This window comes from Homo sapiens, chromosome 18 (assembly GCF_000001405.40).
Source record: "Homo sapiens chromosome 18, GRCh38.p14 Primary Assembly".
In the NCBI taxonomy this organism is placed as follows: domain Eukaryota; kingdom Metazoa; phylum Chordata; class Mammalia; order Primates; family Hominidae; genus Homo; species Homo sapiens.
This window is the reverse complement of record NC_000018.10, coordinates 47,019,913-47,032,119: the sequence shown is the minus strand read 5'-3', so window position 1 is coordinate 47,032,119 and position 12,207 is coordinate 47,019,913. Positions and strand designations below refer to the sequence as shown.

The window sequence follows — 12,207 nt, the reverse complement described above, 5'->3', positions numbered from 1 at the left end:
AGAATGGTGACACATTAATCAGCTTATTTAGGTTCTGAATCAAGAAGTCTAAAGAGGCCAATCAGATTTTCTAATTACCATGAAAGGACCGGGTTAACTACCTTGAGTTCAGATCACACGGACGTCTGCTAGCTTTCTTAAAACTTTTCATTATAAAGCAGGGCATTTGTTGGCCTCACACGGGCTGGTAATCAAAGGAACGTATGCCAGATATGATACACACACACACAGGAAAAAAGCCAGGATGGAGACAAAGGGATACTGCATTTCAGGAAGACAAGAAAGCATTCTTTCTGGGAAAAGGGATGTGACACTGCCAGTAACCATATAAAACTCAAAAAAGTCCAGGTGGGGAGGCTCAAGGCCCTACCTCAGCACTTTGGGAGGCCGAGGTGGGTGGATCACATAAGGTAAGGAGTTAAAGACCAGGACGACCAATATGAAAAAGATCCCATCTCTACTAAAATAATCCTCATTCTAGCTCTGAAGAATTGCCAGTATTACACTACGATTCTCCTGGAGAAGTAGCTGGAAGTCTGGAAACACAGCAAATTTACCTATTTTTCTACAAACTGTGGAAGGGTACTTATAAGAAAAGGCTTAACACCCGAATCCCCATTCCCCGATTCTCAGGGCATAATGATTTTCTTTCTGCAGAAGAAACACACCCCGCCCCCACCACAACACACACAAAAAGAAAGACAGAGAGACACAAAAAAAGTCACACGAGAAATTAAAAATTACGCGAAACTGCCAACGACAGCAGAAACAAAAGCCGAAAACATACATATTTCAAATGGATCTGTTTTCCTCATTCGGACTGAAAGGTAAGAGTGGAACTCCGCTGCCCAAACCGTGGCACCAATATCAGCTGCAGACCAGAGCAAGCCTTTCCGAGGAGATTTTAAACAACCGGTGGGAGCAAGATCCTGAAGCATTTCTTCCAAGATTGGTCACAGGAGATGAAACCTGGCTCTACCGGCAGGATCCTGAAGACCAAGCACGAAGCCATGGCTACCAAGAGGTGGCAGTGCTCCAGTCGAAGCTGCAGAGGAGCAGTCAAGAGCAGAGGTCATGGCCACCGTTGGGGGCGGGGGGGGGGGGGGGAGATGCTAGAGGGATTCTGCTGGTTGACTTTCTGCAGGGCCAAACCCTGATCACATCTGCTCGCTAGCAGAGCGTTTTCAGAAAGTTAGCCAAAGCTGGAGCGAAGAAGGTCCCCACCAGAGACTTCTTCTCCACCACGACAGTGTTCCTGATCATGCCTTTCTTCGAACAAGGGCAGCTGGGCAAGACTTGCCATGGGAAACCGTGAGGCGTCCACCTGACAATCCTGATTTGGCGCCTGCTGACTTCTCTTTGTTTCCTTGTCTTGGAAAACCTGTAAGGGGCACCCAGTTTTCTTCAGTTAACAATGGAAAAAAGATTGCATGGAAATAGTTAAATTCCCAGGACCCTGGGGGCTTTAAGGGATGGGCTAGACGGCGGGGAAAAGACACTGCTTCCAGAAGGGTCTTGATGCTGATGGAGCCGAGGTTGAGGAGTAAAATACGCCTTTTTCCTCTTTCTCCCTTAATCCCACTTTTCTACCAATGTTTCCAAGTCCCCTCACACAACGTCAATGCCAGGTAAAGAGTTGTCATCCTCTGTTGGTTCTTCTTCCTACGATTCTGTCTTGCGGTGTTGTTATTTTCGCTTTTACTCCCAAGAAGATTCTCTCTGTGTCTTTTGGAATCCACAGATGTGGAAGCTGGGTACATGGAGGGCCAACGGTAGAACTCAGTGGGGTGTGTCCAGGCTGCAATTAACCTAATGACCCCGCGGGGCACAGCAGTCCACCTGGCGTGGACCGCCCCGATTGGCTGCGTTGGGCTGACGGAATGAATTCCTATCGGGGCGGGGCAGCCCAGGGGCCCAGGGGGGTCAGGGCTTGAGCCCTGGGTGGGCCCGGGGCTGGCTATATAAGGCCGGGCTCTGGCAGCGGAGCTTCACTCCGCCTTGGACGGCGCACCGCACAGGTCACACTCCAGGCTGCGGCCGCACATCCCGAGGAACAGAAGCGGGCCTGCTCAGCTGTCTGCAAGGACCGGCGTTCCAGACCAAGTGGCCCGCTGCTCCGAGGACCCAGCTCGCTCCAGGCTGTGACTCCACATCCCGAGGTCGCCGCCTGGCGACCGGGCAGCGAGGACCGGCCACCCCAGACTGCCTGTGCCGCCGCCCCGAGCTCGGACAGAGCCGCGACCGCGAGGACAGCGACGCCTGCACAGCTCTGGCGAGATGGCGGCAGGGTCCACTACGCTGCGCGCAGTGGGGAAGCTGCAGGTGCGTCTGGCCACTAAGACGGAGCCGAAAAAGCTAGAGAAATATTTGCAGAAACTCTCCGCCTTGCCCATGACCGCAGACATCCTGGCGGAGACTGGAATCAGAAAGACGGTGAAGCGCCTGCGGAAGCACCAGCACGTGGGCGACTTTGCCAGAGACTTAGCGGCCCGGTGGAAGAAGCTGGTGCTCGTGGACCGAAACACCGGGCCTGACCCGCAGGACCCTGAGGAGAGCGCTTCCCGACAGCGCTTCGGGGAGGCTCTTCAGGAGCGGGAAAAGGCCTGGGGCTTCCCAGAAAACGCGACGGCCCCCAGGAGCCCATCTCACAGCCCTGAGCACAGACGGACAGCACGCAGAACACCTCCGGGGCAACAGAGACCTCACCCGAGGTCTCCCAGTCGCGAGCCCAGAGCCGAGAGAAAGCGCCCCAGAATGGCCCCAGCTGATTCCGGCCCCCATCGGGACCCTCCAACGCGCACCGCTCCCCTCCCGATGCCCGAGGGCCCTGAGCCCGCTGTGCCCGGGGAGCAACCCGGAAGAGGCCACGCTCACGCCGCTCAGGGCGGGCCTCTGCTGGGTCAAGGCTGCCAGGGCCAACCCCAGGGGGAAGCGGTGGGGAGCCACAGCAAGGGGCACAAATCGTCCCGCGGGGCTTCGGCTCAGAAATCGCCTCCTGTCCAGGAAAGCCAGTCAGAGAGGCTGCAGGCGGCCGGCGCTGATTCCGCCGGGCCGAAAACGGTGCCCAGCCATGTCTTCTCGGAGCTCTGGGACCCCTCAGAGGCCTGGATGCAGGCCAACTACGATCTGCTGTCCGCTTTTGAGGCCATGACCTCCCAGGCAAACCCAGAAGCACTCTCCGCGCCAGCGCTCCAGGAGGAAGCTGCTTTCCCTGGACGCAGAGTGAACGCTAAGATGCCGGTGTACTCGGGCTCCAGGCCTGCCTGCCAGCTCCAGGTGCCGACGCTGCGCCAGCAGTGCCTCCGGGTGCCTAGGAACAATCCGGACGCCCTCGGCGACGTGGAAGGGGTCCCCTACTCGGTTCTTGAACCCGTTCTGGAAGGGTGGACGCCCGATCAGCTGTACCGCACAGAGAAAGACAATGCCGCACTCGCTCGAGAGACAGATGAATTATGGAGGATTCATTGCCTCCAGGACTTCAAGGAAGAAAAGCCACAGGAGCACGAGTCTTGGCGGGAGCTGTACCTGCGGCTTCGGGACGCCCGAGAGCAGCGGCTGCGAGTAGTGACCACGAAAATCCGATCCGCACGTGAAAACAAACCCAGCGGCCGACAGACAAAGATGATCTGTTTCAACTCTGTGGCCAAGACGCCTTATGATGCTTCCAGGAGGCAAGAGAAGTCTGCAGGAGCCGCTGACCCCGGAAATGGAGAGATGGAGCCAGCCCCCAAGCCCGCAGGAAGCAGCCAGGCTCCCTCCGGCCTCGGGGACGGCGACGGCGGCAGCGTGAGCGGCGGCGGCAGCAGCAACCGGCACGCGGCGCCCGCGGACAAAACCCGAAAACAGGCTGCCAAGAAAGTGGCCCCGCTGATGGCCAAGGCAATTCGAGACTACAAGGGAAGATTCTCCCGACGATAAACTCAGGACTTGCCTTACGGATAAAATCCGGGGGGAGGAGGGCCAATGCAAAGTCAATGCGGGTTGGGGAACGAAACTTGCGACGGACACCAGAACCCTTGGCTTGGTGCAAAGTTGAGCCTCCGAATCCTGCAGGTGTCAAGTGCTGGCCCTGTGATTTTTGCCTCCCACACCCAGCCACTGCCTCCCTGCTTGGAGGACACCTCAGAATTCAGAAGATATTATGAACGCATTCGGATCAATTCTACTTTGGTGGTTCACTGATCGTCTTTTAAATAACGCCCTAGTTGCAATCATAAATCAGGTACAAGATGTGAGATTCCCTTTTGTCTTTTCTCCTTTCTTTTGAAATCATCCAGTGCATAAGGAAGGACTTCTTAGACACAAACTCTCAATCCACCAGTTGACACTGATAACTCCGACTACGCAAAATGTTTTGTTGCTGTTGGTGTTTTCTTTCGGGGAAAAGGCCGGGCATGATCCTGTAATCGTCGGCCATCCTCCTCTGGGAGGCCGAGGAAAGCAGATCGCTGCAGCCCAGGAGGTGGAGAACAGGCTGGGCCAAACGGAGAAACCCCGTCTCCACAAAAGATACCAAAATGAGCCCGGCGTGGTGGCACGGCCCCTGTGGTCCCAGCTTCTTAGAGGGCTGAGGTGGCAGGATCGCCTGAGCTGGGCAAGCGGAGGCTGCAGTGACCCTTCCTCATTCCACTGCACTCCAGCCTGGGTGACACAAGCGGAGCACATCTCAAAGAAACCTGCTGTTTATCTGAAGAAAGGAACTCCTGGATTTCATACATAAATGCTAACAACTGCTACGTTCCTTAAGTCAAAATACTTTTACTAAGCACGGCAAAGAATCAATCCCAATCTTTTCAGCCAGAACCCCTGTGAAAGAATGGCGACACCTCAATCAGCTTCTTTAGGTTCTCGATCAGGAAGTCTAAACCTGCCAAGCAGAGTTTCTAATTACCATGAGATGACCGGGTTAACTACCTTGAGTTCACCTCCTACGAGCTCCTGCAAGCTTTGGTGAAAGTTTGCATTCTAACTCAGGGCATTTGTTGGCTTCACGCGGGCTGGTAATCACAGGTCCGTGTGCCAGATACGACACACACACATACACACAAAGAAAGACACGCACACACACACGCACACGCACACATGAGCACGCACACGGACGCGCGCGCGCACACACACACACACACCATTAAGTAAACTTGGTTCTTAGGCGTTACCGACAGTGAGGGATAGAGAGAGAAATAGAAAGACCTAAGCCGCAAGGCAAAACCCAGCAAGGGCAGCAGAAGAGATCAAAGTCCTGTGCCCTTGGCTGTCAGCAGAGTGGGTGCTGGGAAGCTTCTGGAAGCAGGCACCTGAGTGGATGCCGGTGCACGTGAAAAGAGGCCTTCAAGCCTGAAGAACACGTAAGGAGCCAGAACAGGGTGCCACAGAGATACTACCCTTAAGGAAGACAGAAAAGCATTCGTGCCGGGGAAGGGGACATAATCCAATCAGCGACCCTGTGAAACTCAGACATGTCCGGGCACGGTGACTCACGCCTCTATTCCCATCGCTTTGGGAGGTCGAGGCCGGCGGACCCCCTGACGTCCGGAGTTGCAGACCAGCCTGACCAACATGAGGAAATCCCGTCTCTTCTAAAAAGACGAAACTCGGTTGGGCTTGCTGGCGAGCGCCTGTAATCCCAGCTACTCAGGGGGCTGAGACGGGAGAATCGCTTGAACCCGGGAGGCCGAGTTTGCAGTGAGCCCAGATGCCACCATTGCACTCCAGCCTGGACAACAAAAGCCAAACTCCGTCTCAAATTAAAAAAACAAAACCTCAGAAAAGCTTCCCCAGCGAGGGCCAGAGACAACGCCGGTCTCTATTTCTTGACAGCAATTCAAGAGAGAATCTCGGGTGGCTTGCAAAACTCACAAGAGAGCAGAATATCCTCCCCGAGGCAGAGAAGCCACACGCTCTTTCTGGAGGTGGAGTAGCCACCGATCACCGTGCAGCCCCTCCCCACTCCCAGCCAGAAACCCCAGCCCCTCGGAACCAAATCCACTGGCAACAACCTTTCTTCCTGGAAAACCTTTCCCCTGCCAAAATGGAAAACAAACATGACACAAGCAAACGCATCTCAAAACACAAACACAAGGAAACAATCCGAGCAAGCTCTAGCCCCTCATAGCTCATCGATGCCCCCACTGGCATGCTACTGAAAACAGCGGCTGCACCCATTAAACTCATTCATTACTGGAGAACGAGACAAACCTTAGCAGATCCCTGCTCCCACAGCGACAATCCCGCTCGAAAACACAGAAAGGAAACAACCCCCGCACAAAATATAAATCTACCCCAGATAGAATTCAGCATCAACCTAAGGATCCTGCTGTAACATTACTACACTGACCCAGGACAGCTCAATTCTCTTCCCACCTATTTACAAGATAAACCTCATTCAGGGAGCTCTGGAGGCATCGCCAGTATTGCACTACGATCCTCTTCGTGAGGCAGCTGGAAGTCTGGAAACACAGCAAATTTACTTATTTCTCTGCACAACACGGAGGGTAATTCTCAGAAAAGGCTTAACACCCGAATCCCCATTCCCCGATTCTCAGGCTATAACGATTATCTTTCTGCAGAAGAGACACACACACACACACACACACACACACACACACACACACACACACTGAGAGAGAGAGAGAGAAAGTCATGTGAGAATGTAAACATTACGCGAAATCGCCGCCGACAGCAGAAACAATAGCCGACACCATAGACACTTCAAATGGTTCTGTTTTCCTCATTTGGACTGAAAGGTGAGAGTGGAACTCGGCTGCCCAAACCGTGGCACCAATATCAGCTGCAGGCCAGAGCAAGCCTTTCCGAGGAGATTTTAAACAACCGGTGGGAGCAAGATCCTGAAGCATTTCTTCCAAGATTGGTCACAGGAGATGAAACCTGGCTCTACCGGCAGGATCCTGAAGACCAAGCACGAAGCCATGGCTACCAAGAGGTGGCAGTGCTCCAGTCGAAGCTGCAGAGGAGCAGTCAAGAGCAGAGGTCATGGCCACCGTTGGGGGCGGGGTGGGGGGGGGAGATGCTAGAGGGATTCTGCTGGTTGACTTTCTGCAGGGCCAAACCCTGATCACATCTGCTCGCTAGCAGAGCGTTTTCAGAAAGTTAGCCAAAGCTGGAGCGAAGAAGGTCCCCACCAGAGACTTCTTCTCCACCACGACAGTGTTCCTGATCATGCCTTTCTTCGAACAAGGGCAGCTGGGCAAGACTTGCCATGGGAAACCGTGAGGCGTCCACCTGACAATCCTGATTTGGCGCCTGCTGACTTCTCTTTGTTTCCTTGTCTTGGAAAACCTGTAAGGGGCACCCAGTTTTCTTCAGTTAACAATGGAAAAAAGATTGCATGGAAATAGTTAAATTCCCAGGACCCTGGGGGCTTTAAGGGATGGGCTAGACGGCGGGGAAAAGACACTGCTTCCAGAAGGGTCTTGATGCTGATGGAGCCGAGGTTGAGGAGTAAAATACGCCTTTTTCCTCTTTCTCCCTTAATCCCACTTTTCTACCAATGTTTCCAAGTCCCCTCACACAACGTCAATGCCAGGTAAAGAGTTGTCATCCTCTGTTGGTTCTTCTTCCTACGATTCTGTCTTGCGGTGTTGTTATTTTCGCTTTTACTCCCAAGAAGATTCTCTCTGTGTCTTTTGGAATCCACAGATGTGGAAGCTGGGTACATGGAGGGCCAACGGTAGAACTCAGTGGGGTGTGTCCAGGCTGCAATTAACCTAATGACCCCGCGGGGCACAGCAGTCCACCTGGCGTGGACCGCCCCGATTGGCTGCGTTGGGCTGACGGAATGAATTCCTATCGGGGCGGGGCAGCCCAGGGGCCCAGGGGGGTCAGGGCTTGAGCCCTGGGTGGGCCCGGGGCTGGCTATATAAGGCCGGGCTCTGGCAGCGGAGCTTCACTCCGCCTTGGACGGCGCACCGCACAGGTCACACTCCAGGCTGCGGCCGCACATCCCGAGGAACAGAAGCGGGCCTGCTCAGCTGTCTGCAAGGACCGGCGTTCCAGACCAAGTGGCCCGCTGCTCCGAGGACCCAGCTCGCTCCAGGCTGTGACTCCACATCCCGAGGTCGCCGCCTGGCGACCGGGCAGCGAGGACCGGCCACCCCAGACTGCCTGTGCCGCCGCCCCGAGCTCGGACAGAGCCGCGACCGCGAGGACAGCGACGCCTGCACAGCTCTGGCGAGATGGCGGCAGGGTCCACTACGCTGCGCGCAGTGGGGAAGCTGCAGGTGCGTCTGGCCACTAAGACGGAGCCGAAAAAGCTAGAGAAATATTTGCAGAAACTCTCCGCCTTGCCCATGACCGCAGACATCCTGGCGGAGACTGGAATCAGAAAGACGGTGAAGCGCCTGCGGAAGCACCAGCACGTGGGCGACTTTGCCAGAGACTTAGCGGCCCGGTGGAAGAAGCTGGTGCTCGTGGACCGAAACACCGGGCCTGACCCGCAGGACCCTGAGGAGAGCGCTTCCCGACAGCGCTTCGGGGAGGCTCTTCAGGAGCGGGAAAAGGCCTGGGGCTTCCCAGAAAACGCGACGGCCCCCAGGAGCCCATCTCACAGCCCTGAGCACAGACGGACAGCACGCAGAACACCTCCGGGGCAACAGAGACCTCACCCGAGGTCTCCCAGTCGCGAGCCCAGAGCCGAGAGAAAGCGCCCCAGAATGGCCCCAGCTGATTCCGGCCCCCATCGGGACCCTCCAACGCGCACCGCTCCCCTCCCGATGCCCGAGGGCCCTGAGCCCGCTGTGCCCGGGGAGCAACCCGGAAGAGGCCACGCTCACGCCGCTCAGGGCGGGCCTCTGCTGGGTCAAGGCTGCCAGGGCCAACCCCAGGGGGAAGCGGTGGGGAGCCACAGCAAGGGGCACAAATCGTCCCGCGGGGCTTCGGCTCAGAAATCGCCTCCTGTCCAGGAAAGCCAGTCAGAGAGGCTGCAGGCGGCCGGCGCTGATTCCGCCGGGCCGAAAACGGTGCCCAGCCATGTCTTCTCGGAGCTCTGGGACCCCTCAGAGGCCTGGATGCAGGCCAACTACGATCTGCTGTCCGCTTTTGAGGCCATGACCTCCCAGGCAAACCCAGAAGCACTCTGCGCGCCAGCGCTCCAGGAGGAAGCTGCTTTCCCTGGACGCAGAGTGAACGCTAAGATGCCGGTGTACTCGGGCTCCAGGCCTGCCTGCCAGCTCCAGGTGCCGACGCTGCGCCAGCAGTGCCTCCGGGTGCCTAGGAACAATCCGGACGCCCTCGGCGACGTGGAAGGGGTCCCCTACTCGGTTCTTGAACCCGTTCTGGAAGGGTGGACGCCCGATCAGCTGTACCGCACAGAGAAAGACAATGCCGCACTCGCTCGAGAGACAGATGAATTATGGAGGATTCATTGCCTCCAGGACTTCAAGGAAGAAAAGCCACAGGAGCACGAGTCTTGGCGGGAGCTGTACCTGCGGCTTCGGGACGCCCGAGAGCAGCGGCTGCGAGTAGTGACCACGAAAATCCGATCCGCACGTGAAAACAAACCCAGCGGCCGACAGACAAAGATGATCTGTTTCAACTCTGTGGCCAAGACGCCTTATGATGCTTCCAGGAGGCAAGAGAAGTCTGCAGGAGCCGCTGACCCCGGAAATGGAGAGATGGAGCCAGCCCCCAAGCCCGCAGGAAGCAGCCAGGCTCCCTCCGGCCTCGGGGACGGCGACGGCGGCAGCGTGAGCGGCGGCGGCAGCAGCAACCGGCACGCGGCGCCCGCGGACAAAACCCGAAAACAGGCTGCCAAGAAAGTGGCCCCGCTGATGGCCAAGGCAATTCGAGACTACAAGGGAAGATTCTCCCGACGATAAACTCAGGACTTGCCTTACGGATAAAATCCGGGGGGAGGAGGGCCAATGCAAAGTCAATGCGGGTTGGGGAACGAAACTTGCGACGGACACCAGAACCCTTGGCTTGGTGCAAAGTTGAGCCTCCGAATCCTGCAGGTGTCAAGTGCTGGCCCTGTGATTTTTGCCTCCCACACCCAGCCACTGCCTCCCTGCTTGGAGGACACCTCAGAATTCAGAAGATATTATGAACGCATTCGGATCAATTCTACTTTGGTGGTTCACTGATCGTCTTTTAAATAACGCCCTAGTTGCAATCATAAATCAGGTACAAGATGTGAGATTCCCTTTTGTCTTTTCTCCTTTCTTTTGAAATCATCCAGTGCATAAGGAAGGACTTCTTAGACACAAACTCTCAATCCACCAGTTGACACTGATAACTCCGACTACGCAAAATGTTTTGTTGCTGTTGGTGTTTTCTTTCGGGGAAAAGGCCGGGCATGATCCTGTAATCGTCGGCCATCCTCCTCTGGGAGGCCGAGGAAAGCAGATCGCTGCAGCCCAGGAGGTGGAGAACAGGCTGGGCCAAACGGAGAAACCCCGTCTCCACAAAAGATACCAAAATGAGCCCGGCGTGGTGGCACGGCCCCTGTGGTCCCAGCTTCTTAGAGGGCTGAGGTGGCAGGATCGCCTGAGCTGGGCAAGCGGAGGCTGCAGTGACCCTTCCTCATTCCACTGCACTCCAGCCTGGGTGACACAAGCGGAGCACATCTCAAAGAAACCTGCTGTTTATCTGAAGAAAGGAACTCCTGGATTTCATACATAAATGCTAACAACTGCTACGTTCCTTAAGTCAAAATACTTTTACTAAGCACGGCAAAGAATCAATCCCAATCTTTTCAGCCAGAACCCCTGTGAAAGAATGGCGACACCTCAATCAGCTTCTTTAGGTTCTCGATCAGGAAGTCTAAACCTGCCAAGCAGAGTTTCTAATTACCATGAGATGACCGGGTTAACTACCTTGAGTTCACCTCCTACGAGCTCCTGCAAGCTTTGGTGAAAGTTTGCATTCTAACTCAGGGCATTTGTTGGCTTCACGCGGGCTGGTAATCACAGGTCCGTGTGCCAGATACGACACACACACATACACACAAAGAAAGACACGCACACACACACGCACACGCACACATGAGCACGCACACGGACGCGCGCGCGCACACACACACACACACCATTAAGTAAACTTGGTTCTTAGGCGTTACCGACAGTGAGGGATAGAGAGAGAAATAGAAAGACCTAAGCCGCAAGGCAAAACCCAGCAAGGGCAGCAGAAGAGATCAAAGTCCTGTGCCCTTGGCTGTCAGCAGAGTGGGTGCTGGGAAGCTTCTGGAAGCAGGCACCTGAGTGGATGCCGGTGCACGTGAAAAGAGGCCTTCAAGCCTGAAGAACACGTAAGGAGCCAGAACAGGGTGCCACAGAGATACTACCCTTAAGGAAGACAGAAAAGCATTCGTGCCGGGGAAGGGGACATAATCCAATCAGCGACCCTGTGAAACTCAGACATGTCCGGGCACGGTGACTCACGCCTCTATTCCCATCGCTTTGGGAGGTCGAGGCCGGCGGACCCCCTGACGTCCGGAGTTGCAGACCAGCCTGACCAACATGAGGAAATCCCGTCTCTTCTAAAAAGACGAAACTCGGTTGGGCTTGCTGGCGAGCGCCTGTAATCCCAGCTACTCAGGGGGCTGAGACGGGAGAATCGCTTGAACCCGGGAGGCCGAGTTTGCAGTGAGCCCAGATGCCACCATTGCACTCCAGCCTGGACAACAAAAGCCAAACTCCGTCTCAAATTAAAAAAACAAAACCTCAGAAAAGCTTCCCCAGCGAGGGCCAGAGACAACGCCGGTCTCTATTTCTTGACAGCAATTCAAGAGAGAATCTCGGGTGGCTTGCAAAACTCACAAGAGAGCAGAATATCCTCCCCGAGGCAGAGAAGCCACACGCTCTTTCTGGAGGTGGAGTAGCCACCGATCACCGTGCAGCCCCTCCCCACTCCCAGCCAGAAACCCCAGCCCCTCGGAACCAAATCCACTGGCAACAACCTTTCTTCCTGGAAAACCTTTCCCCTGCCAAAATGGAAAACAAACATGACACAAGCAAACGCATCTCAAAACACAAACACAAGGAAACAATCCGAGCAAGCTCTAGCCCCTCATAGCTCATCGATGCCCCCACTGGCATGCTACTGAAAACAGCGGCTGCACCCATTAAACTCATTCATTACTGGAGAACGAGACAAACCTTAGCAGATCCCTGCTCCCACAGCGACAATCCCGCTCGAAAACACAGAAAGGAAACAACCCCCGCACAAAATATAAATCTACCCCAGATAGAATTC

General features: G+C 55.4%; 1 protein-coding gene and 1 pseudogene across 23 annotated transcripts in view, besides 6 other annotated features; one reads left to right on the top strand and one right to left on the bottom strand.

Annotated features, from left to right (window-relative positions):
- The window catches only part of KATNAL2 (katanin catalytic subunit A1 like 2), a 184,650-nt gene that overhangs the window by 70,124 nt on the left and 102,319 nt on the right, over window positions 1-12,207 (bottom strand). The gene's annotated exons all lie outside the window — the stretch shown is intronic.
- Window positions 2,037-2,539: an enhancer, noted in NCBI's record as "H3K27ac-H3K4me1 hESC enhancer chr18:44555952-44556454 (GRCh37/hg19 assembly coordinates)". NCBI's record gives its function as "activates a minimal SCP1, AML or CMV promoter by ChIP-STARR-seq in naive and primed H9 embryonic stem cells {active_cell/tissue: H9 hESC(naive and primed)}" and the evidence as "EXISTENCE:reporter gene assay evidence [ECO:0000049][PMID:30033119]".
- Window positions 2,540-3,042: an enhancer, noted in NCBI's record as "H3K27ac-H3K4me1 hESC enhancer chr18:44555449-44555951 (GRCh37/hg19 assembly coordinates)". NCBI's record gives its function as "activates a minimal SCP1, AML or CMV promoter by ChIP-STARR-seq in primed H9 embryonic stem cells {active_cell/tissue: H9 hESC(primed)}" and the evidence as "EXISTENCE:reporter gene assay evidence [ECO:0000049][PMID:30033119]".
- Window positions 3,043-3,546: an enhancer, noted in NCBI's record as "H3K27ac-H3K4me1 hESC enhancer chr18:44554945-44555448 (GRCh37/hg19 assembly coordinates)". NCBI's record gives its function as "activates a minimal SCP1, AML or CMV promoter by ChIP-STARR-seq in naive H9 embryonic stem cells {active_cell/tissue: H9 hESC(naive)}" and the evidence as "EXISTENCE:reporter gene assay evidence [ECO:0000049][PMID:30033119]".
- Window positions 5,191-5,391: a silencer, noted in NCBI's record as "peak3137 fragment used in MPRA reporter construct". NCBI's record gives its function as "represses an SCP1 promoter by STARR-seq MPRAs in K562 erythroleukemia cells {active_cell/tissue: K562}" and the evidence as "EXISTENCE:reporter gene assay evidence [ECO:0000049][PMID:32103011]".
- ELOA3BP (elongin A3 family member B, pseudogene) lies at window positions 8,093-9,933 on the top strand (annotated as a pseudogene).
- Window positions 10,474-11,237: an enhancer, noted in NCBI's record as "H3K4me1 hESC enhancer chr18:44553169-44553932 (GRCh37/hg19 assembly coordinates)". NCBI's record gives its function as "activates a minimal SCP1, AML or CMV promoter by ChIP-STARR-seq in primed H9 embryonic stem cells {active_cell/tissue: H9 hESC(primed)}" and the evidence as "EXISTENCE:reporter gene assay evidence [ECO:0000049][PMID:30033119]".
- Window positions 11,238-12,001: an enhancer, noted in NCBI's record as "H3K4me1 hESC enhancer chr18:44552405-44553168 (GRCh37/hg19 assembly coordinates)". NCBI's record gives its function as "activates a minimal SCP1, AML or CMV promoter by ChIP-STARR-seq in naive and primed H9 embryonic stem cells {active_cell/tissue: H9 hESC(naive and primed)}" and the evidence as "EXISTENCE:reporter gene assay evidence [ECO:0000049][PMID:30033119]".